Source organism: Homo sapiens, chromosome 11, assembly GCF_000001405.40.
Source record: "Homo sapiens chromosome 11, GRCh38.p14 Primary Assembly".
In the NCBI taxonomy this organism is placed as follows: domain Eukaryota; kingdom Metazoa; phylum Chordata; class Mammalia; order Primates; family Hominidae; genus Homo; species Homo sapiens.
The window spans coordinates 61,332,667-61,355,782 of NC_000011.10; the positions used below are offsets into that span (position 1 = coordinate 61,332,667).

The following is a 23,116-nucleotide window of genomic DNA, read 5'->3' on the forward strand; positions in this document are numbered from 1 at the left end:
GAGGCCGAATGACCTCCCCAGGACGAAAGGGGACCCTCGAGAGCGGCTTCCAACCCCCAAAAAGCGCGTACAGGGACGACTCTTTCGAGGTCGCGGTGCTGGGGGAGGTTCCTCGGCCGCCAGCGCCTTCCATTCGCCGGGCCCACTCCTGCCCGGCCGCCCCCGGGGCGGCGGGCCTCCCTAGGCCGCGGCTCCCCCCAACTCCCTCACTCGCCGGGGTCTCCGGCCCCGGCAGCCTCACCGGTCACGCAGCCGTTCACGGCGGTGGGCTTCTGGGCCGTTACCACGTAGTTGTACGACATGTCGAGGCTTGGAGCGGCCCGTCGGGACTCGAGCGCGACACTAGAAAGAGGGACACAAGCGAAAAGACAGGTGGCCCCCAACAGCGCGCAGCGAACTCCACTGCCGCTGCCTCCGCCCCAGAGACACGTTGCAGGCCAGAGCGGCCGGGGCGCGGGGCATCACGGGACGGCCTCACCTGGCCTCTTGGAGGACTCCCGAAGCCCGAGGCCGCCAACCGAAGGAGGCCCCGCCCCCGGAGGCACCGCCTCGCCTCTTTCCGCCAGCGCCCGCAGGACCCGGATGAGAGCGCACGCTTCGGGGTCTCCGGGAAGTCGCGGCGCCTTCGGATGTGGCGGATGCGGCCGTGAGCCGGCGGGGGAGGTGCGCCAGTGTCCTCCGAGCTCGCCCGCAGACTCCCCACCCCGTTCCGCGCCCTTTGCCCTTCCCCGCATCCAGTCCTCCTTCCGTTGCTCCAGGAGCCCTCGGGCTGTTCCTCCTTTGGGAACGGGAAGGACTGCGGAGGCATAGAGAGGGAAGGGAGACCGCGATTCGTGCATATCCCAGACTAGAACCTTGCCTGCTTTCCTTTCACTGTCTCAGTTCCTCCAGATCCAGCTGGTGCCCTCGCCTGACGTTTGAACGACCACCTGCTCACCTCCTCCCTTTTGCGCGTTGATTCTTCAGACTTCAAAGGGCCCACCGGTCTGCTTGCCCAACGTTATTAGTGCCCCTATTGCTCTACAAATTCGAACCTCAAACACAAAACCAGTATTTCTCCGTAGGGAACCTTAATGAGCCAGGAGAGCCGTCAGCCCTGCAGCCTCCAGGGTACCCCACATCAAACAGGCTCCCCGGGAACAAGAGGAATACCACGTGGCTTGGCACACTCGCAGAATGCCAGAGAGGAGCCAACCCCCATTTTACAGATGAGGAAGCTGAGGCTTAGGGAGGAATTGGTTTACCTAAGACCCTCCCCACAACCCCAAGTAGGCTGAGGCAGAGCTATGTTGATTCTTCCTATTGTGCACCCACACAGAGGCCAACACGCTGCTGAACCAGGCTGAACTGAGGAAAAGCTAGAAAGTCATCGTGGTTTACATCTTGCCTTTCCCATAGCAGAGACTCTGCCTGACTTTGGAGGCACTGAATTATCAGTAGTAAAAACACACTCTGTAGAAAAACTAGACATTGGTTTAGATTCTGGCTGTTACCTGTATTACCTTGGACAAGTCCCTAGAGCTCTCTGAGTCTGTTTCCCAGAAGTAAAATGGGTCACAAACCTGGCTAGCTCCCCCCATTCCCTTCCCTTTTGGTGCCAAGGCCAGTGAGGGCAAGCGTGTGACGAGCTTTGTTAACTTTTTCGCTGCATGTGATGCCCGTGTAAAAGATAGTTATTCTGAGGATCACTGTCCTTTAGTGATGAAGTGGGTGCTGTTCCTGGACATAAAGGCAGACCTGTGCTTGACATGGATTGATCTGTCTTCTGGCAGTGAAGTGCAGGCATGAACCTTGGTCAGCCCCACACTCTTCTCCATCCGTAGCCCATGTACTAGAGTTTGGACTTGGACCGAAGTCTGGGGCAGCTCCCTAATTACTAGGGTGCTGAAGGCGTGATTGTGCCAGTCGACTGCGAGTTCCTTCCGCAGCTTGTATCGTTACCCACTCCTGCAGGTGCTGCTGCTGCCTCCACTGTACTCAGACCCAGGTAGCACAGGATTGTCCATCCTCCAGCAGCTCAGTGCAACGGTGTGAACTCAGCCTGTTTCAGAGCCTCCACACCATGGTGAGTCATACAGGGCCGGGACGGGAATGGCAGCATGGTCTCAAAGCAGGATCCCAGCCTTGGGCAAGCTAAAGCTCCTTACACTTTGACTGAGAGATGCTATTGCCTCCTGAGGCTCACGGGTGAAGAGAGAGGGTCATCCTCTCTCCCAGGGTCTGATCCCTGCTTTTCTTTGTTTCCTGGAGGCTGCTGGTCCCAGCCAGGCCTGGGGCTGCAGCCTCTTGAGTCCCTTCAGAGCCACTCTGCCCCTTATCTGGGTCTTGCATTCAGAGTAAAACAGTAACAGTTACCTGCTCTGTAATAGACATTGTACCGGTCACAGAAGGAATCGTGAAGAATGACCATGTGACCGTTCCTAACCTTGGGGCTTATGTGGGCCGGTCTGGAGCTGGGATCTACAGTGTGGGAGGCTGGCCATGTCCCTGGGCTTTGCTCCAGGCCCACTGATTTGAACCAAAACAAGCCTTGAACATATCTGGATTCAAATTTCAGCCTGCCACTGACCAGCTGCATGACCTTTTACAGACCTCTCTGCGCCTCTTTTTCTTCATCTGCATTATAAGGCAAATTAAGGCCTACCTCCAGTGGTTGTGTGGTGTTGATCAAGCAGAGTCCTGGAGGCCTCACTTGACTTCCTTTCCTTTTCCATCCTTTCAGGCCACTGAAACCAGGGATAGCACTGGTCCCTAAACCCTCTTCTGGCTCTGTAAAAGACAGATTATCATGATGGGGAGCAGGCCACTTTCTTGGAGGGTAGTGCTGCTGGAGGCTGGGCTTGGAGTGAGGCCAACTCACAACTTCATTGTGTGTTCCAGTCCCTGGTAGGCTCTGAGAGCCACAAACCCATGTCCTTTCTAGGGCAACCTCTGTCACCCTCCACTTCCCTCCAGCCCCTCGAGAAAGCAGCATGATATGGCCAAAAGGGAACCAGCTTTGGAGCCAGGCAGACCTGGACACCTGCTGGCTGTGTGACCTTGGGCAAAATAGTTTAACTGTGCCTCAGTTTCCTCACTGGGCTCATCTTTCCTCCATAGGGCTGTTGGGAAGTTTTGTTTTGTTTTAGTTTGGGTTTTTTTTTTTGAGACGGAGTTTTGCTCTTTTTGCCCAGGCTGGAGTGCAATGGCGCAATCTCGGCTCACCACAACCTCCGCCTCCCAGGTTCAAGCAATTCTCCTGCCTCAGCCTCCCGAGTAGCTGGAATTACAGGCATGTGCCACCACGCCCAGCTAATTTTGTATTTTTAGTAGAAATGGGGTTTCTCCATGTTGATCAGGCTAGTCTCGAACTCCCAACCTCAGGTGATCCACCCGCCTTGGCCTCCCAAAGTTCTGGGATTATAGGCATGAGCTACCACACCCGGCCTGTTGGGAAGATTAAATGAGACATGCTCAAAAACACTTAGAACTGGGCCTGGCTCTTAGTCACTGCTCAGCAAATGGAACCAATCTTATTGTTCTTCTTGCTCCCTACAGACCTAGGCTACTCTGAAGCAGGTGGCTTAGCCCTGGCCCTGGCTGGATGCAGGACAGGTTGGCAGGGAGGCAGCAGAGCCAAATTTTGTACAAAGGAGCTGGTGCTAGCAAGCTCAGGAAGAAGCCACAGCCGGAAGTTCACCTTGCCAGGACCTGGCTCAGCTGCAGGTTCCCACCGGGCCACCAGGTGGCGGTGGGAGCCCAGCCCTCTGAGTCCACGTTGGGCCCCAGTCTCACTCTGTCTTCAGGACAAAGCCAGGGGCTGCAGCCCTTGTTCAGCAGACTCTGGCTTTTCACAGCCTGTTTGAAAAAGGGAGTAGCTTCATTTGATTGAGTTTCCACTATATCATGGGCATATACTCTGTTCTAGTAAATCCCTATTTTACAGAGGAAGAATTTTAGCTCCCGACAATGATGTATCTTCCCTGAGTTCCTGCAGCTAATGAGAGGCAGAAGTGGGATTTGAACCCAAGTCCCTGTAACAGCAGAGCTCAAGCCACACTCCATTCTGGCCCCCACGCTACTCACTTCTGTCTGCACCCTGTATCCACTCAGCCAAGCCTGGCGGCACTGCTCTGTAACCCTCCACCAGCCTGTCCACAACCCCTCCTGAGGCTGCCTGTGGCCAGTCCTCTCCTCCCCACCCCTTCCTGCTGGTCACCCGTGCTTCCTGGCACCACCACACTATTCACTCATCCAGGCCTTGGCTTATGCTCCCCCTCTGGCTGGAAGAGCCTCCCTTTTCCCTCCTCCCATGTCTCCTGCCCCCTTTTTCCCTACCCCGGTCCTGCTTATCCTTCCCAGAGACCTCCAGGCCCCTCGGGAGGCTGCGGCCCCTCCTCTATGCTCCCATGGTGCACGTGCGCTCCTCGTGTAGCAGTGCCCACTACACATGGCTGTGACCTCTGCTGTGTTTCCACTGAGGGCAGGAACAGCATTGTTATCTCTTTTTTTATTTCCGAGATGGAGTCTCACTCTGTCACCTAGGCTGGAGTGCAGTGGCACGATGACAGCTTACTGCAGCCATGACCTCCCAGGTTCAAGTGATCCTCCCACCTCAGCCTTCCGACTAGTGGGACTCCAGGCATGCACCACCATGCCTGGATCATTTTTCATATTTTTTGTAGAGATGGAGTCTCATCATGTTGCCCAGGCCGGTCTCAAAGTCTTGGACTCAGGCGATCTGCCTGCCTCAGCCTCCCAAAGTGCTGGGATTACAGGCATGAGCCACTGCACCTGAGCTGTTATCTCTACACATAGTGTCTAGTGCTGGGCCTGGCATACCAAGAGGCTGGGGAAATGTTTGCCCCGCGTTGGAGCACCAGGGAGCAGCGGTGGCTGTGGAACCTGCTCAGCTCCTCCCCCAGCATAGGAGCCTCAGCCTGAGGCTTTTCTTCCTTTTGACAGAAGAAGGTGTTGGGCCCCAGTTTTATTAAAATATTTTACACTGCAGGCAACCACTCCCCCATTTTCTTTGTATTGCAGCCATTTTTTCAGAATAAATTGAAGGTATGGTGCAAGACACTTCATAAATTAGGTACTGAATAGAAAGTCACACATTACTGAAAACTCACAGAAATACCCACCTAAGATGTCGCCCAACTCAAGGAAGTCCTGTGCTCCTGGAGTTCCTAGGTGGATGCGGGAGAGGGGTCTACACCACAGCAGTGTGGCTGCGCAGGATGGGGGTATCTGTACTGACCACATTCTGACCTCCTTCTCACTCCTCCCTTGCAGACCTCCAAGAAGCTGGTGAACTCGGTGGCTGGCTGTGCTGATGACGCTCTTGCTGGCCTGGTGGCCTGCAACCCCAACCTGCAGCTCCTGCAGGGCCACCGCGTGGCCCTCCGTTCTGACCTGGACAGCCTCAAGGGCCGGGTGGCACTGCTGTCGGGTGGGGGCTCTGGCCATGAGCCTGCCCATGCTGGTGAGTATCCTGGGGTGGGGCAGGGGGTACTAGTGGAGTGGACAGGGCCTCCTGGGGGATCCTTAGTGCTGCCATGAAGTGCAGGATGGAGCTCAGCCCAGAATCAGGAACTGGGGTACTTCCCACTCTCCCACTCCCTCCGGCTGGGATCAGGGGCCCATCACGGCCTCTCTGAATCTGTTTCTACATCTACAAATCTACGAAGTTGGGCCAAACAATCTCTCAAGTCCTTCTAGCTCTGAGAGTCGGTGATTCCATGAATCTTCTGGACCCTCCAAGCCCAGCAGACCCACCCCGATTCCATGAAGGCTTCCTGACTCTTCCAGCCTACAGCAGCACCCCTCTTCTGAATTCCCACCTGCTGTGTCCCACTTGTGGACTGTCCTGGCTTCTTTCCTGTGTGGAGCCAGGGACGCAGACTCTCCTTGAGGGCTGCTGGAGGGCAGGGACTAGGATGCGCGTCATTTCTCTGCTTCCTGTCTTCCTTCAGCAAAATCCATTCATTTGGCAAACACTCATGAGCCCACTGTGTACCTGGCGCTGTACTGGGCACTAGGGATACCAGACAGGCAAGGTCCCTGCCCTCGTGGAGCTTATATTCTACTTAGGGGAGACAGACAATAACCAAGTAAACACGAAAGTAAATGAGATCATTTCAGAGGGTGCTAAGTGACTTAGTAAAGACAGTAAAATGGGGCAAAGGAACAGTGAGTCCCTGGGGAGGGAGCTGGTGACTGCTTCAGGCTGGGAGGTCACAGAAGGCCTCTCTAAGATGCCTCCTAAGAAGGAGTCAGCCATGTGAAGACCTGGGGGATCTTTGAGCACCAAGCACACAGTAGGGCTCACCAAACCATGACCCCCGGAGTGTGGGAAGCCCCAGTGACTACAGGCGCGAGTCCCACCCAGCATGCTCACTCCACTCCTTCCACCTCCAGGTTTCATAGGGAAGGGGATGCTGACTGGGGTCATCGCGGGAGCTGTGTTCACCTCCCCGGCAGTGGGCAGCATCCTGGCAGCCATCAGGGCCGTGGCCCAGGCCGGCACAGGTAAGCCTGGCATGCAGGAGGGGCTGCGGCAGGGAGGGCACAGTAAGCACACTGAGCCCTTCCGGCTGCTCCCGCAGTGGGGACGCTCCTTATCGTGAAGAACTACACTGGGGATCGGCTCAACTTCGGCCTGGCCCGGGAGCAGGCCCGGGCTGAAGGCATCCCGGTGGAGATGGTGGTGATTGGGGACGACAGCGCCTTCACTGTCCTGAAGAAGGCAGGCCGGCGGGGGCTGTGCGGCACGGTGCTTATACACAAGGTGGGCTTCCACCGGGGACGTGGAGACTGGCCAGCCCTTTCCAGCCTTCCCTTGCCTGGCAGCACCCAGTAACTGGACCTTTCCAGCCCTTCCCCAAGAAGCTAGTTCTTTTTCTCCAGTGTTCCCTGATCTCAGAAGGCCCCGCCATCCCCTCAGCTACCTAAGCCCAGATACAGGCATTTTCCCAGACTCGTCCCCTTTTCTTCTCCACACCCAATCAGTTGCCCGGTCCTGGTGCTTCTCCTCCCAAATGTACAACACACATCCTTCTCAGACCCCGCCCTCCTGCTTTGCCTTGGTTCAGGGGTCATCTACTCATGCCTGATGGCTGCAGCCACCTCCTCACTGGGCTCCCCTGCCTGCTTCCTGCCTTCTGGCCTTGCTCATCCATTCTCCACACTACTGCCAGAGGTGTCTTTTTAAAATGTGTATCTGACTAGGTTATTCATCCACTGAAAGCCTTCTTGGGTGCCTACAATCAATACAAGCCCTCACCATAGCTCCCTGACTCCCCACCTTCATCTCCCATCATCCCTGCCTTCCTCTTTTTTTTATTTTCTTTTATTTATTTTTTATTTATTTATTTATTTTTTGAGGCAGAGTCTCACTCTGTTGCCCAGGCTGGAATGCAGTGGCGCGATCTTGGCTCACTGCAGTCTCCGCTGCCCAGGTTTAAGTGATTCTCCTTCCTCAGCCTCCCGAGTAGCTGGGATTACAAGGCGCCTGCCACCACGCCCGGCTAATTTTTGTATTTTTAGTAGAGATGTGGTTTCACCATGTTGGCCAGGCTGGCCTCGAACTCCTGACCTCAAGTGATCTGCCCGCCTCGGCCTCCCAAAGTGCTGGGATGACGAGCGTGAGCCACCGCGCCCAGCCATCCCTGCCTTCCTCTTTTTTTTTTTTTTTTTTTTTTTTTTTTTTTTTTTTTTTGAGACGGAGTCTCGCTCTGTCGCCCAGGCCGGACTGCGGACTGCAGTGGCGCAATCTCGGCTCACTGCAAGCTCCGCTTCCCGGGTTCACGCCATTCTCCTGCCTCAGCCTCCCGAGTAGCTGGGACTACAGGCGCCCGCCACCGCGCCCGGCTAATTTTTTGTATTTTTAGTAGAGACGGGGTTTCACCTTGTTAGCCAGGATGGTCTCGATCTCCTGACCTCATGATCCACCCGCCTCGGCCTCCCAAAGTGCTGGGATTACAGGCGTGAGCCACCGCGCCCGGCCCCTGCCTTCCTCTTATGGTCTCTTCACGCCAGCTCCTGTACCTGCCAGGCTATGGATCATCTCTGGCTTTGCTTATGCAGTATCTGTGGCCTGGAAAATTCTTTCCTTGTCCAGCCTCCTTTTGGCCTGGCTAACTCCTACCATTCTACAGAGGCCCAGCTCTGATGTCTCCCCACCTGGAAGGCTCTCCCTGATCTCCATCTCCCCACTACCCTGAGCTGGTTGGCAGCCAGTCCTAGTGTGGACTCCATCACTGTAATTACCACCTCACATAAATTTTCAATTTATGGGTATCTGCTTCCCTAGCCTCTCCCCAGGCTGTGAGTTCTTGAAGGTGGAGACTGTGACTTAGTCGCCTTTTTTCCTTTTCAGCATATACTAGATGCTTGGTAAAAATTGGGTGGATGGATGGATGGATAGATGGGTAAAGTGACCCAAAATAGCAAGGCTATGGGAGAGAGAACTCTGGAACTCTAGAGTTGGGAAACTGGCCACCCACTGGCTGTGTGACATTGGACAAGTCACCGCCCCTCTCTGGGTCCATTTCCCCATTTGTAAAGTCTCTTCTGACTCCAACAGACTGGAATTCTTGAAGATTCCTGGCAGGTACACTGTGAATGAGGGGAGTTTGCTCTTCTGCCCTAAATGTGATGGGCCAGGTTGAGTGTGAAAATCCTGAGGTTCCCCCTTCCCAACAAGAAATTCATCCCCTGCCTGTCTTCTACCCCACATGGTACAGTGATACCCTCCCCCCTGGGGCTTTTACCTCTTTGTGGCTGCAGGTGGCAGGTGCTCTGGCTGAGGCTGGTGTGGGGCTGGAGGAGATCGCAAAGCAGGTGAACGTGGTCGCCAAGGCCATGGGTGAGTGCTGGCCTGGGAGCTGGGGAAGAGAGTGGGGAAGGTTGGACAGCCCTGGGGCGAGGAGCAGGTTCCTGTTGGCTGCCTAGCGGTGCTCCCCAGGTTATTCCCCAGGGGTCTAGGGAGTGTATCCCTGGGGGAGCTCCTGGGGACTGGTGGCCTTGGGTACCATGGCTGAGGTGGAGAGTCTGGCAGCCTTTCTCAGAGAAGAGGGTACCTGTGGGCAGGGCCTCTGAGATGCTGCTGCCACCCTTCCTGATGCCCAGTGCTAAGAGTGGAACAGTCATCCCTTCATGCCTTGTTTCTCATAGGTACCCTGGGGGTGAGCTTATCCTCCTGCAGCGTCCCTGGTTCCAAACCCACCTTCGAGCTCTCAGCCGACGAGGTGGAGCTGGGCCTGGGTAAGCTTGTGGCCATCCATCCCAGCCCTGCCTGCTCCTTGGCCCTGGACTTTGCCCACCTTGCATACCCTTAGAGCCATCAACCTGGTCCTCTCCCCAGGTGGTCTTAGTATTTTTACCTGGTCATTTGAGGCCCAGCCTGGGCCAACCTGCCTGATTTCTACCTGCTTTGCTGTCTATACCCACAGCTTTGGCCATGTGGAGCTCTGTGCACTGCCCACCTCCTAGCCTTTGCCTGCCATTCCCAGGTCCTCCTGTCCCTGCCAGAATACACCCTTCTTTCAACGGCTGTTCAAAGATCACCTGGCTGCAAAGCTTTCTTTCCTCGCCTGTGCTTCCTCCTTAACTATCTCTAGTTAAAGCTATCTCCACCACCAGGCCACAAGCTCCCAGAGAACAGAGATCGTGTTTTTCATTATTCTGTCCATTTCCATCCCCCACTCCCGCCCACTTACTGTGTGAGTCCAGCACTGTGTGAGTCCTTGATAAAAACGATGAGCAAATCCCCAGGCCTTGAGTGGGTCAGCAGTGACCACATCTATCCGCAGGGATCCACGGGGAAGCTGGTGTGCGCCGGATAAAGGTAGGTGGTCCCTCTGGCACAGGCCGCCCTAAGGCCAAGGCCCCCCAGATGCAGCTCATTCCTGGCTCCCTCTGACAGATGGCAACCGCCGATGAGATTGTGAAACTCATGCTCGACCACATGACAAACACCACCAACGCGTCCCATGTGCCTGTGCAGCCCGGTGGGTAGCCTCTCGCCCGCGTCTCCCAACCCCTCCTAAACCTCTGGGGAGGAGACGCCCAGAGGGTCTCACCTGGGGTGTCATGTCTACCCGCAGGCTCCTCAGTTGTGATGATGGTCAACAACCTGGGTGGCCTGTCATTCCTGGAACTGGGCATCATAGCCGACGCTACCGTCCGCTCCCTGGGTGAGCCATGCACTGGGAAGGGGATCCTACAGCCCTTTGGAAAGGGCTGAGGGAGGGTCTTGTGATGGCAGAGAACACGGACTGTGCGTCAGATAAGCCTGAGTTAAATCGTCTCTCTGCCACCTAATTGCCGGATACCTTGAGCCTCTGTTTGTTTTCTTGTCTGCAAATTGGGGGTAATAATAATGGTACCTGCTTTATACCGTTGTTTTGAGGATTAAGTGAGATTAAACATATGTAAGACACTCAACACAGCGCCCAGCACCTGGCACGAACTGAGTAAATGAGACCTGTAATTACTCATCTTCCCCGACGTAGGGGACACCTCCAGGGAACGTGGTCATTTGTGGGGTTATTGAGGGATGCCTGCCAGGAGGAAATCAGGACATCTCCCTCCCGACCTCAGAGCCCCAGCTTCCAAGGTCCTTGCTTTTCTGTTGTTTTCTTTCCCTGATGCCCATTTTTCCCTTTTGGACTGCCACACTCTGGTATTGCAGAGGGCCGCGGGGTGAAGATTGCCCGTGCCCTGGTGGGCACCTTCATGTCAGCACTGGAGATGCCTGGCATTTCTCTCACCCTCCTGCTGGTGGATGAGCCTCTCCTGAAACTGATAGGTGAGACTTGGAACCTGGGGTCACCCAAGCCAGGGCTCCTTGTAACTGGAAGGAGCCAGGGAGACTTGGAGACCCCGTCAGGGCTGACCGTGACAATCAGGGCTCTGGAGCCTGTGAAGAAGGCTCTTCCTGGGCTTCTCCAGCCTTCTCCAGCTCTCACTGGACTAGAAGGAGTTGGTATTAGGATCCTCCTCAGAGAGGCCTGACCCTTTCCCAGGGACCCTCTCTCCATACCCCTGTATACAGTAGGCACTCAGTCCATGCTTGTCGAGGTGGACTCCCTTCCTCCAGGGCTGCTGAGAAAGCCAGGCCACCAGGGTCAGGATGGGAGGGTCCAAGCCCTGCTGAATCCCTGGCTGGACAGCCGTGTCTAAGAGAGTTATCTTGCTGCCCTTAGATGCTGAAACCACTGCAGCAGCCTGGCCTAACGTGGCTGCAGTCTCCATTACTGGGCGGAAGCGGAGCCGGGTAGCCCCTGCCGAGCCCCAGGAGGCCCCTGATTCCACTGCTGCAGGAGGTACCAACCCCTGCCTTTGGGGAAGGGACAGGCTTCCCAAAGGATGCAGGAGTATACGGTGGGGCGGGTAGGGGCCCTGGCACCCACACCTCCCACCATAGTCAAGTGTGGTTGTGAGAAGGGCCTGGTGGGCCTGTTCTTCAGCATCCTCCCTTTCTAGGCTCAGCCTCGAAGCGGATGGCGCTGGTGCTGGAACGGGTGTGCAGCACTCTCCTGGGCCTGGAGGAACACCTGAATGCCCTGGACCGGGCTGCTGGTGACGGCGACTGTGGCACCACCCACAGCCGTGCGGCCAGAGGTTGGTGCCAGGGACTTTGCCAAGTGAGGTCATTCACAAAACCTTAGCCCCCCTTCCACTTGTTTCCCTGAAGGCAGGGACCTTCCTTTTTTTTTTTTTTTTTTTTTAAGAAGGAATCTCACTCTGTCGCTAGGCTGGAGTATGCAATGGTGTGATCTCGGCTCACTGCAGTCTCCGCCCCCCGGGTTCAAGTGATTTTCCTGCCTCAGCCTCCTGACTAGCTGAGATAACAGGCATGCGCCACCACGCCTGGCTAATTGTTGTGTTTTTAGTGGAGACGGGGTCTCGCCATGTTGGCCAGGCTGGTCTCTAACTCCCCACCTCAAGCCATCCGCTCGCCCTGGCCTCCCAAAGTGCTGAGATTACAGGCATGAGCCACCACACCCGGCCGACAGGGACCTTCTTAACACCACAAATGTATGAGGTTGTTATCTTAGAATTAAATGAAATCCTTCACAGTGAATAACTTACAACTCAAGGCGAACTTATTCTGTTGTCCTTATTTTTCTCAGTTTACCCAGACCAGTGAAAAGCTCTTAACTGTCCAGCATCATTCATTCGAGAAAAAGGTATTTGGTGCCTGCCGTGGGGCAGGCACTGCTCTCAGCTGTGGATACAGTAGTGAACAGAGCAGACAGAAATCACTGCCCTCATGGCTTATGTTCTAGGTGGAAGACAGTCAACCAGATAAATCAGTAAAACACAGAGGATGTTAGCACAAAGGGCTAAGGAGAAAAAAACCAAGCCAGGGAGCAGAGTACAGAGCGTCAAGTGGAGGGCTTCGGGGCAGGCCTCACCTCCCCAGGCCCCTTTCGGTTACGCAGCCCAGCCCCTCTCCAGACTGCACACTGGATGTGGAAAGGGATCTTGGGAAGCCTTCATTCCACTTCCCTGTCGGCCTTTTCCAGCCTTCATTGGTGCTGGCTGGAAGTCTGGCAGATGGAGGGAGGATCTCTGAATTCCTCCCCATCTCTCTCTGCCTGCAGCAATCCAGGAGTGGCTGAAGGAGGGCCCACCCCCTGCCAGCCCTGCCCAGCTGCTCTCCAAGTTGTCTGTCCTGCTCCTGGAGAAGATGGGAGGCTCATCTGGGGCGGTGGGTGCCTGGGGGCTGAAGGGCTGACAGGGAGGTGGCTGGGCTGGCTGGGGTCCAGGCCAGCACCACATGCTCAGCGTTGTCATCTTCCCCAGCTCTATGGCCTGTTCCTGACTGCGGCTGCACAGCCCCTGAAGGCCAAGACCAGCCTCCCAGCCTGGTCTGCTGCCATGGATGCCGGCCTGGAAGCCATGCAGAAGTGAGCCAGAGCCCTGTGCATCAGACCAGGGGTGGGCTGGGGGAGGTGTTTGGTGACATCTGCGCCCTGCCAGGCCCTAGCCCAACCCTCAGAGTGATTCCCTTGGTTCCCTATAGTGAGCCTCTTTCACTCTCTTTCCCTGCCAGGTATGGCAAGGCTGCTCCAGGGGACAGGACTATGGTATGTACTCAGGCTGTGGCCTCAGACCTTTCTCCTTTTGGCCCTGTAAGTCTAAAGAGCACCCTCGGTTGCAGGGCCCGTGCTCAGCCCCCTTTCCTTCACCTTGTCCAGCTGGATTCTCTGTGGGCAGCGGGGCAGGAGCTCCAAGCCTGGAAGAGCCCAGGAGCTGATCTGTTACAAGTCCTGACCAAAGCAGTCAAGGTGAGTGAGGCTGGGCCCAGCCACCTGGGGAGACAGGCTTCTAGCCAGCAGACTCCTGTCTCCATGTGACCCTGAGCAAGTTAATAACCTTCCTGGACCGCAGTTTCCTTCTCTGTACAATGGAGATGAGCACCTATCTCAGAAGGTGGTTATGTGGCTAAGGAAATATGTAGAGCCCCGCACACTGCCTGGGATGTGACAGGGCCTCAGTGAATGGTGACCCTTTTCCCTGCTGGAAGTAGATGAGAAGTGACTTTCCATTTGGTGACAGAGCAGAGGGTGCTGGCAGAGCCAGGGCAAGGGCGTGCAGGGCCAGGCTGCACGGCAGAGACGTTCTGCCCATGGCAGGAAGGAGGCGGCCTGGTGATCTGCCCTTGAACCTGCTCCCACACCCCATCCCCCAGAGTGCCGAAGCTGCAGCCGAGGCCACCAAGAATATGGAAGCTGGAGCCGGAAGAGCCAGTTATATCAGCTCAGCACGGCTGGAGCAGCCAGACCCCGGGGCGGTGGCAGCTGCTGCCATCCTCCGGGCCATCTTGGAGGTCTTGCAGAGCTAGGGTGTGTGACTGCCTCCCTTGGCCTCAGCTCCTCTCACTGCTGTGCTGAGGTGGCCTTTGTCACTTCCTTCTGCCTTCCAACCCTCACCTTCCCCCGGCCTGGCCCCATTGGCCCACCCTCTAAGTTGAGCAGGAAATCCTCCACCAAGCTTCCAGAACTACAGACAGCACCCAGAGTGAGCTGGAGTGGGTCCCCATGCCTCTCCAGCATGCCCTTTCCCTTTGCAGGAGGGTGGAGTCCCTGGGTCATGCCCTCCCCTGCCAGCTCTGGGCTTCAGAGATAAGGCATTTTCCTTGTGCAGCCTTTACCTGGCAATCCTAATTTGGTTTTAAGACTCCCTGTGAAATGCTTTCCGCACCTTAACCCCAGTGAGCGTGAAAAAGAAAGTTAATAAACTATAATACATGGAAGCAAGAAAGACACTGCCTCCTCTGAGGGACCTTTTCCCAAGCATGTAAACAAGGGGGCCCACAGCCCTGGCTGCAGGCATCATGACCCATCTTCTACCAGGCAGATCTTTATTACCTGAGCCCCTAAGGCAGTGTCTCCTCAGCTGGGCTGCTTCCACTGAGACCCCCGACCCATCCCCTTTCCAGTACACACACCTGATGCATGTAAGAATGGTAGAGGGGCTTTTCTTAGCATTGAATTAATAATTCAGTGGCTCCTCGGGAGTCGAATGGGCATTTGGGACACCAGAAGGAAAAGAAATCATCATAGTCTAAGGTTCAGTTGTAGATCAAAAAATGCAGCCAGGCCGGGCACGGTGGCTCACACCTGCAATCCCAGCACTTTGGGAGGCCAAGGCAGGCGGATCCCTTACACTCAGGAGTTCAAGACCAGTCTGGGCAACATGGTAAAACCCTGTCTCTACCAAAAAATACAAAATTAGCCAGGCATAGTAGTGTGTGCCTATAGTCCTAACTTGGGAGGCTGAGTTGGGAGGATGGCTTGGGCCCAGGAGGTCGAGGCTGCGGTGAGCCATAAGCATGCCACTATACTCCAGCCTGGGCAACAAAGCGAGACCCTGTCTCAAAAAAAAAAAAAAAAAAAAAAGAAACTGCAGCCAAGCCAGCCCCTAGGTCTCTTTCTAGAGCGATCACTGATGGCACCAGGGTGAGCAGGGGCACTGTATGCATGTGGAGACAAACAGCACATGCCTGGCACACATGTAGGGTAGGGAGTGGTTAAAGGCACTGGCTGTCGACTCATACACATGATCTGAAATCTGATTCTGCTTTAACCCGGCTACAGGAGCTAAGGCCTATTTTTTAGCCCTTTGGGATCTGTAAAATCAGAATGGTACCCACCTCATGGGGACATGAAAGGATTCAAATGAATTGATGAAGATGGGCCATAAAGCCCAGCACAGTCCAAGTGCTCACTCACTGAGAGTTACGGTTATCACAGGGGTTGGGCCCCCAGCCCCTCCCAGGTCATCTGCTCTACCACTAGCTGGTAGGAAAGAGCCTCCTGCCCTCCCAACCCCCGTCACCTACTTGGCCCAAATTTGGCTGCAGGCTCCCCGAGTGCCTGGGCTTCTCTACCCAGGGTCCTGTCTGTCGGCTGCACCATACGTCCCTGACCACAAGGCATCCACGTGCACAGGAGTATGCGCCCAGCAGCTGGGAAGGAGGCTGACCTCAGACGGTGGCCTGTGGATCCCAGCTCTGTCATTTCCTGGCTGGGTGACCTCAACCTAGTCACCCTTTTTGAGTCTTGTTTTCTCAGATTATGAAATAGGAAAAATTTCCTTCCTCGTGAGATAAGCACGTGCCATTAGCTATTAAGGACACGCACATAAATGAGCTGCATGTGAATCCACACATGCCATTCCATGAAGACAGAGGATCATGTGGATCTTTGGTGCCTTCCGGTTGGCCCCTCCCTAGGTCTGTGAGGGTCAGACCTGTCCTGAGGCTTTTACAAATTGGCCCAGAACTCATTTAACCACAGCATCATTTCATTAGAGGGCTGTTATTAGAGACTGAATGTTTGTGTCCCCCCCAAATTCCTGTGTTGAAAGGCTCACCCCCACTATGGTAGTGTTAGGACGTGGGGCCTTTGGGAGGTGATGGGGTTATGAGGGTGGAGCCCCAGAGAGCTCTCACGCCCTTTCCACCATGTGAGGTTATGGTGAGAAGATGGTCTCTGAGGAAGCTGGCCCTTGCCACACACCACATTTGCCAGCGCCTTCATCTTGGATGTCTATAGCCTCCAGAACTGTGAGAAATAAACACTTGTTGTTTAAGCCACCCAGGCTATTATATTTTTGTTATAGCAGCCTGAACAAAGACAGCTTTGATTCTTAACATATTTAATGAAACTCGAGCTTCATAAACCAGTGAAATGCCTACCCCTATGGAGATGGGGAGCTGGTCATGGGACCCAGGTGCCTGGAGGACATCCCAGTGGCTTTGAAGGCTCCAGCCAGTCAAGACGGTCAATATTAGCCCTTCTGCCAACATCTGGCAATGTGAGGCTGGGGTGGACGTTGGCCTGATGTTGCCAGGAGTAGGATGCTGATGCTGCCAGAGAGTAGGTGGGCTCCAAACCCCAGGCTTCTCACTTGCTTACTAAGCACAGCAGTCTGAAGCTTGGGACCTGGCAGTGCGTCTTTGGAGAAGGCAAAAAAGCCACAGCAGCAACACTTAGGAGCAAGACCCTTCCCGCTCTCCACCCTATTTCCTCCCCTGAAGAAGAGCAACAGCTCAAGCTCTAGCATGGCACAGAACGCTAGGTTGGGCCAGGCAAGCAGCCATGGTGGGGCCAGGTGAAGCAATGTGGGTCTCAGCAAGGAACCCCTCTGAAGGTGGCAGTGGCTCCCAGGGCTGCTGCACACTGGACACCACAACTTTGGCATCAGCTGCATGGTGAGCTGCAGAGTGGTCAGAGGGGCTGGGGCCCTGCCAAGAGAGCAAGGCCAGACCTGCCCAGCGGGAGGCAGGAAGGCCCTGATCCAGCAAGGAGAAGTAGAGGAAGTCCACAGCCACCTCTGTTACTCATCGCTACTGGGACATCTGGGGACAGGCTCTGTTCTTGGGAGAGCAGGTCACCAGGATTTGTAGGGCTGCCTGCCGGTGACAGACACGTAAGTCACAGGGAAAGGCCGGGATCCAGGCCTCAGCTGTAGCAGCAGCTGGAAGAGGTGGAGCCGCACGGTCACAATACATGCAGACACAGAGCAGCAATACGAAACAGAACAGCTCAGAGCGGTCAGCTCCTCAGCAGAAGCTGCGTGGGCCGCCACTCCCCCTTTCTGCAATCACCCCATGATGTCTCCACCCCACCTCACATCCAGATGGGGCTGGATGGCAGAGCAGATGAAGCCTGCTCTGTGGCGGGGCAGCCTAACTGAAATGCACACCTTTATGGGGGAAGTGGACGGACACCTCACCTCCCTCATGTTTCACACCGTGGACTGCACTTGAGTCCCAGCTCTTCACCACATCCCTAGGAGTCTTAAGAGGAAATCAGTCTGATTTCTTCAGACAGGAGCAGCAAGAGCGGCCAGAGCGAGGAGGACCTCGTGTGAATGGAGGACCTGAGAGGCTGACGCCAAGGAGTGCAGAAGCCAAAGCCACCAAGGAAAGCAGACAGGCAGCAAGCAGCCAGAGAAGGCAGGCCCAGCACCCAGGCAAAGCCACCAAGGAAAGCAGACAGGCAGCAAGCGGCCGGAGAGGGCAGGCCCAGCACCCAGGCAAAGCCACCAAGGAAAGCAGACAGGCAGCAAGCGGCCGGAGAGGGCAGGCCAGCACCCAGGCAAGAAGTCTGGGCCCAGCATTGGAAGAAAGTCGCCTGCTGAAACCAGCCGGGAGCCCTGGGAAGAGCAGAGCTTCTGAGGGGAGCACAGGCTGCACCACCAGGAGCTCTTGGGAGCCCCTTCCTGCTGCTTCACTCCCCATCATGCAGCAGGGGCTGGAAAGAGAGGCAGATGCCCAGGAGTTAATGACATGATGCAGGAGTCACACCAGGCCCAAGCTGTTCAGACAGACCCCCAGCCTGCAGGGTGGTCCCCATCCAAGCCACCAAATCCCTCAGGGAAGCCCCAAAGTCCCTGAGCCTGGTACACACCCCGTCTCCCTACATCCCATCAAGACCTGCTCTGAGCACTCAGCTGGTCACCAGGCACCCATCCCACTAGACTAGCCCCCAGGCTGGTAAAGGAGAAATCACACACCCTTGTCACAGTCAAGCCCTTCCTTGGGGAAGAAGATAAGGCCACACTTCACCCCACAGAACCACAGTGATTTGGGGGGGAAATTCTGTCTCCCAATGGACAGACTGGGGAGTCCCAGCATTTCACTGGGATGCGCTGGTTTGGGACCAGTGCTCCCCATCAGCCACCCTAACTCCACCCTCAAGTTACTTGGTTTCCTGCTGTGCCACAGGGTAAGTCTTCTTGTCAAGGCCCCAGCCTTTCGTGGGAGATCCTTCTCTAGACCTGGCCCTGTCCCACCCTGGAATGTGGGACTGGAACCCATACCTGTCTGTCGGTCAGGATCCCCGGCTCTGGGCGCTTCCAAGATGAAGCCAGAAGGATGTAGAGCACCAGCAGCCCAAAGGCCACCACCAGCATCCCGGTGCTGTTGGCAAAGACCGCCTCACTGGGCAGGCTGTGGTATGGCCTGGTGGTGTTTTTCCTGAAGATGACAAAACAATGTGAGCCCTCGAGAGATTTTTCCACCTATTTTTGTCTAGTGGGAGACTCGATGTCACTAACAGAGGGTGAGAAAACCTTCCCGGGTCCATATGTGATCTAGAATTTTAACACCCTTTCTTTTTTTTTTTTTTTTTTTTTTTGAGGCAGAGTCTTGCTCTGTCACCCGGGCTGGAGTGCAGTGGCACGATCTCGGCTCACTGCAAGCTCCGCCTCCTGGGTTCACGCCATTCTCCTGCCTCAGCCTCCCAAGTAGCTGGGACTGCAGGTGCCTGCCACCACGCCTGGCTAATTTTTTGTATTTTTAGTAGAGACAGGGTTTCACCATGTTAGCCAGGATGGTCTCGATCTCCTGACCTCATGATCCGCCCGCCTCGGCCTCCCAAAGTGCTGGGATTACAGGCGTGAGCCACTGCGCCCGGCTGAATTTTAACACCCTTTCTAAGTCCCTGCAAATATTTGTATAATGAGCCAGGTGCAGCGGCTCACTCTTGTAATCCCAGCACTTTGGGAGGCCAAGGCATGAGGATTGCTTTACCCCAGGAGTTGGAGACTAGCCTGTGCAACATAGTGAGATCCTGTCTCTACAAAAATAAAACTTAGCTAGGTGAGGTGGTCCATGCCTGTAGTCCTAGCTTACTTAGGAGGCTACATTGGGAAGATCGCTTGAGTGCAGGAGTTTGATGCTGCAGTGAGCTATGGTCACACCATTGCTCTCCAACCTAGGCAACAGAGTGAGATGCTATCTCTTGGCTGGGGGGATAAAAGGAGAGAGAGAGGGTCTTCCTATGTTGCCCAGGCTGGACTCCTTCCACCTCAGCCTCCCTAGTAGCTGGGACTACAGGTGCATGCCACGGCACCCAGCTGTAATAATCCTTTTACCCATGAGGAAACTGAAGCTCAAAGCAATGAAATTAACTTGCCCAAAGTTGCATAACTAGTAAATGGCACAGCCAAGATCGAAACCAAGGTCTGACCTTAAGTCCTAGTTGCTTTTCACTACACCCCATTGCCTCAAAAGAACGGACAGTAGTGGTCAGGCATGCAAGGCTCTAGAGTCAGACTGCCTAATCTGAGTCCCAGCTCTGCCACTTACTGGCTGTGTGCCCTCGGGTAAGTTACGTAACCCCTCTGTTCCCTCATTTTTTTTATTTTTATTTCTACCTGAACAGTCCTATTGCAGAATCTGTTCCCTCAATTGAAAATGGCAATGACGGCCGGGTGCAGTGGCTCATGCCTGTAATCCCAGCACTCTGGGAGGCCGAGGCGGGCAGATCATGAGGTCAGGAGTCCGAGACCAGCCTGCCCAGCATGGTGAAACCCCGTCCCTACTAAAAATTCAAAAAATTAGCCGGGCATGGTGGCACACACTTGTAGGCCCAGCTACTTGGGAGGCAGAGGCAGGAGAATTGCTTGAACCCAGCAGGTGGAGGTTGCAGCGAGCCAAGATTGTGCCACTACACTCCAGCCTGGGCGACAGAGTGAGACTCCATCTCAAAAAAAAAGAAAAAAGAAAATGGCAATGACAACAATACCAATCAATACCAATGATGTAGGGTGGTTGACAGGATTAAATGTAAGGTGCTTAGTACTGTTTCTGACACACAGCAGGTGCTAAATCAAACTGATGCTCAATAAATATCTGCTGACTTACCAATTTCAACCTAAAGAAAGATCAATTCTGTTACCTTCCAGATCAGGAGTGGACCCAACCCCAAAATCTCTCCTCCCTTGGGTGAGTCCTGTGATCACAGGGTGTATCTTTTGAAGACCCTATTCCCTCCTCTTCACCTTAGAGTTGGGGACCCCACTGCACTCACAAACTGAAGAAAAGCTTCTCATTAATGCCCGAAATGACGGATGCGATGGACAGAGAGAGGATGGCGGCTCCAAAAAAGACGTGGATAGGTTTTAGGAGGCTGCGCAGCCACATGGACGCCCAGGGCAGGAGGAAGACAGCAAAGCCCAGGAACCACTGTGGACAAAAGGGAGGACACACCCGACTGTGCTATGTGTGACCAAAGCACATCCCACCCCATCAGTGCCTCCTCCCCATCTCTGCTCCCTGGCTCTTCTTTCACAACTCAAACCTTCCCACCTGGCATTGCCCACTACCGTGCTAGCTTCCTCATTGTGGCCTATTACCCAAGCAACAAGAACAGTAAATGACATGCTTAGCTACCATCCCACTCCCAGCAAACCCAACCACCTTGTTTGTCTCTGGTTCCTTCCAGTCCTTGCTCATAAAACTCTTCACTCGCACAGGCCTGAGATCAGAATATGGAAACCACTTCAAGAATTCTTTTGGTTCACAGAGGTGGGAGTGGGGAAAGTGGAAGCCAGATGGCTGATTAGAGTCAGCATAGTGCGTGCCATGACAAAGTTAGCAGAGAGGGCTCTGGGACGAGAGACGGGCAATGGGAGGGATAAAAGGAACAGGGTAAGTTCAGGCCACTGACCTCCCACAGCCCTTGAATAAACTGTCAGTTCTACAAGATAACAATCTGCAAGTCCCTCTCCAAGCAGTGAGCAGAGGAATATTTGGTGCTCATGCAAGTGAACCCCCAACCAGAGCTCATGGCTCTGGGAACCTCGAGGAGGAGAACAGAGAGAACCCACCTGGCAGGCGAAGAGGAAGACAGTGGTGATGCCCAGCCAGCTGTGAAGGGAGTAGAGGTTGGCAGTCCTTCCATGGTTGTGAAACGTAAAGACAGCAACCAGCCCCACAACAGTGAGGACGAAGGCCATCAGGTGCAGCGCTGCATGGAGGAGTTTCCAGGGCAGTTTGGGCCCCACCCACGACTGGGGCAGGCGGTACACCAGTGACGCTGCAGGAGAGAGTAGTGCCAGGGCTCAGCCTCTCCCCTCGAGCTCACCCAGACATCAGGGAATAACCCTGATAGGATCCTACACAGCTTCCCAGCAAGGGAACAGGAAATGCTAGGGCACTGGTATCAACTCCTCGGCATCTTCTACCCTCCCATGATTTGTGGGATAACAGCCATGAAGGGAGGAGAGAAGGGCCAGTTAAAAAGGGAGGAGTGGTCAGGCAAGGTGGCTCATGCCTGTAATTCCAGCACTTTTTGGGAGGCCAAGGTGGGAGGACTGCTTGAGGCCAGGAGTTTGAGGTTACAGTGAGCTATGATCATGCCACTGCAATCTAGCCTGGGCCACAGAGAGAAATAAATAAATAAACAGATTCCAATTAAAAAGGGAGGAGGGCTGGGCACGGTGACTCATGTCAGCACTTTGGGAGGCCAGAAGTTCAAGATCAGCCTGGGCAACATAGCAAGATCCTGTGTCCACAAAAAATAAAAATAAAAAATATTATCCGGGCATGGTGGCACATGCCTGTTCTCTCAGCTACTTGGGGGACTGAGGTGGGAGGATCACTTGAGCCTAAGAGTTCAAGGCTGCAGCAAGCTATGATCATCCCACTGCACTCTAGCCTGAAAAAGAGGGAAACCTGTCTCCTAAAAAAAAAGTGGAGGGGGGAAGCAGGTTTCTTGGACCTCTCATTCTATTTTCACAATAATAAATTCAGCTTGTTTGCAGTTTCTAGGCTAAAAAGCATCATGACAGTCATTGTTTCATCAAACTGAATTGTCACAAGTGAGGCTGGCTGTCAACACAGGTACTAAGGTCAGGCAACATAGGTCCAAATCCAGGCTCTGCCTCTTAGCTGTTTGGCCTCTCCTTTCTTTTTTTTTTTTTTTTTTTTTGAGACAGAGTCTCGTTCTATCATCCAGGCTGGAGTGCAGCGGCGCAATCTCAGCTCACTGCAAGCTCCGCCTCCCGGGTTCACGCCATTCTCCTGCCTCAGCCTCCCAAGTAGCTGGGACTACAGGTGCCTGCCACCATACCCGGCTAATTTTTTGTATTTTTAGTAGAGACGGGGTTTCACTGTGTTAGCGAGGATGGTCTCGATCCCCTGACCTCATGATCCGCCCACCTCAGTCTCCCAAAGTGCTGGGATTACAGGCGTGAGCCACCACGCCTGGCCTGGCCTCTCCTGTCTAACTCTCAATTTCCTCATCTGTAAAAGGGATATAACAGAGCCCACCTCACAAACTTGTAAGAACAAAATGGGATGATATATGTGAACTGCACATGGTAAGCTGCTATCATCAATGGCATCGTATTGCCATTTTACAAATGGGGAAAATGAGGCTCACCAGGGCCCCAAGGCACAGATTTGAAAGCATGGGACAAAGATTACAAAGATGGATCCCAGGTTGGGCGCAGTGGCTCACACCTGTAATCCCAGCACTTTGGGAGGCAGAGGCGGGTGGATCACCTGAGGTCAGGAGTTCGAGGCCAGCCTGACCAACATGGTGAAACCCCATCTCTACTAAAAAATATAAAAATTAGCTGGGCATGATGGCGGGCACCTATAATCTCAGGTACTTGGGAGGCTGAGGCAGGAGAATGGCCTGAACCCAGGAGGCGGAGGTTGCAGTGAGCCAAGATCACGCCATTGCACTCCAGCCTGGGCAACAAGAGCAAAACTCCATCTCAAAAAAAGAAAAAAAAAAAAAAGATGGATCCCGGAAGAGCAAGCAAGTCCCTCATTCGGTGGCCTGACTAAACCATGAGAGGCTTCAATCTCCTGTTCTCT

At 54.5% G+C, this 23,116-nt stretch overlaps 3 protein-coding genes across 29 annotated transcripts in view, besides 5 other annotated features; 1 reads left to right on the forward strand and 2 right to left on the reverse strand.

Moving 5' to 3' along the window:
- DDB1 (damage specific DNA binding protein 1) overlaps window positions 1–439 on the reverse strand; it is a 33,655-nt gene extending 33,216 nt beyond the window's left edge. The window contains exon 1 of the mRNA NM_001923.5: window positions 242–439. Coding sequence (NP_001914.3) covers window positions 242–302 — 61 coding nt within the window. The 5' untranslated portion in view covers window positions 303–439. The remainder of the gene's footprint in view (window positions 1–241) is intronic.
- Window positions 1–523: an enhancer, noted in NCBI's record as "NANOG-H3K27ac-H3K4me1 hESC enhancer chr11:61100139-61100661 (GRCh37/hg19 assembly coordinates)". NCBI's record gives its function as "activates a minimal SCP1, AML or CMV promoter by ChIP-STARR-seq in naive and primed H9 embryonic stem cells {active_cell/tissue: H9 hESC(naive and primed)}" and the evidence as "EXISTENCE:reporter gene assay evidence [ECO:0000049][PMID:30033119]".
- Window positions 442–701: a silencer, noted in NCBI's record as "silent region_3390". NCBI's record gives its function as "represses an Ori minimal core promoter by ATAC-STARR-seq in GM12878 lymphoblastoid cells {active_cell/tissue: GM12878}" and the evidence as "EXISTENCE:reporter gene assay evidence [ECO:0000049][PMID:35858748]".
- Window positions 442–1,046: a biological region, named in NCBI's record as "NANOG-H3K27ac-H3K4me1 hESC enhancer GRCh37_chr11:61100662-61101184".
- Window positions 524–1,046: an enhancer, noted in NCBI's record as "NANOG-H3K27ac-H3K4me1 hESC enhancer chr11:61100662-61101184 (GRCh37/hg19 assembly coordinates)". NCBI's record gives its function as "activates a minimal SCP1, AML or CMV promoter by ChIP-STARR-seq in naive and primed H9 embryonic stem cells {active_cell/tissue: H9 hESC(naive and primed)}" and the evidence as "EXISTENCE:reporter gene assay evidence [ECO:0000049][PMID:30033119]".
- Window positions 562–20,760, forward strand: TKFC (triokinase and FMN cyclase). 20 transcript variants are annotated; one of them, XM_047426732.1, is made up of 19 exons: window positions 562–663; window positions 883–984; window positions 1,954–2,065; window positions 5,275–5,464; window positions 6,400–6,510; window positions 6,588–6,769; window positions 8,770–8,848; window positions 9,157–9,246; window positions 9,795–9,829; window positions 9,908–9,992; window positions 10,089–10,178; window positions 10,676–10,792; window positions 11,190–11,309; window positions 11,470–11,607; window positions 12,594–12,700; window positions 12,796–12,899; window positions 13,046–13,079; window positions 13,191–13,280; window positions 20,194–20,760. In XM_047426732.1, the coding sequence occupies exons 3-19, from the start codon at window positions 2,063–2,065 to the stop codon at window positions 20,323–20,325; spliced, it is 1,707 nt and encodes a 568-aa protein (XP_047282688.1). In that variant the 5' UTR covers window positions 562–663; window positions 883–984; window positions 1,954–2,062; the 3' UTR covers window positions 20,326–20,760. The 20 variants fall into 20 exon arrangements, with proteins under 20 accessions (XP_047282688.1, NP_001338905.1, XP_047282691.1 ...); NM_001351976.2 differs by lacking the exon at window positions 20,194–20,760 and adding an exon at window positions 13,685–16,576; XM_047426735.1 differs by lacking the exon at window positions 20,194–20,760 and adding an exon at window positions 13,629–16,093.
- Window positions 12,385–13,311: an enhancer, noted in NCBI's record as "H3K4me1 hESC enhancer chr11:61112523-61113449 (GRCh37/hg19 assembly coordinates)". NCBI's record gives its function as "activates a minimal SCP1, AML or CMV promoter by ChIP-STARR-seq in primed H9 embryonic stem cells {active_cell/tissue: H9 hESC(primed)}" and the evidence as "EXISTENCE:reporter gene assay evidence [ECO:0000049][PMID:30033119]".
- The window catches only part of CYB561A3 (cytochrome b561 family member A3), a 13,539-nt gene continuing 6,501 nt past the window's right edge, over window positions 16,079–23,116 (reverse strand). For 3 of the 8 annotated variants that reach the window (XM_011544821.3, XM_047426555.1, NM_001300763.2), the window contains 4 exons: window positions 21,118–21,326; window positions 20,319–20,473; window positions 18,325–18,481; window positions 16,079–16,977 (listed from right to left, as the gene is read on the reverse strand). In XM_011544821.3, coding sequence (XP_011543123.1) covers window positions 16,891–16,977; window positions 18,325–18,481; window positions 20,319–20,473; window positions 21,118–21,326 — 608 coding nt within the window. In that variant the 3' untranslated portion in view covers window positions 16,079–16,890. Of the gene's footprint in view, window positions 17,757–18,324; window positions 18,482–20,317; window positions 20,474–20,707; window positions 20,897–21,117; window positions 21,327–23,116 lie in introns of those variants that run through there. The other 5 variants (NM_001161452.2, NM_001161454.1, NM_153611.6 and 2 more) reach the window with 5 other exon arrangements.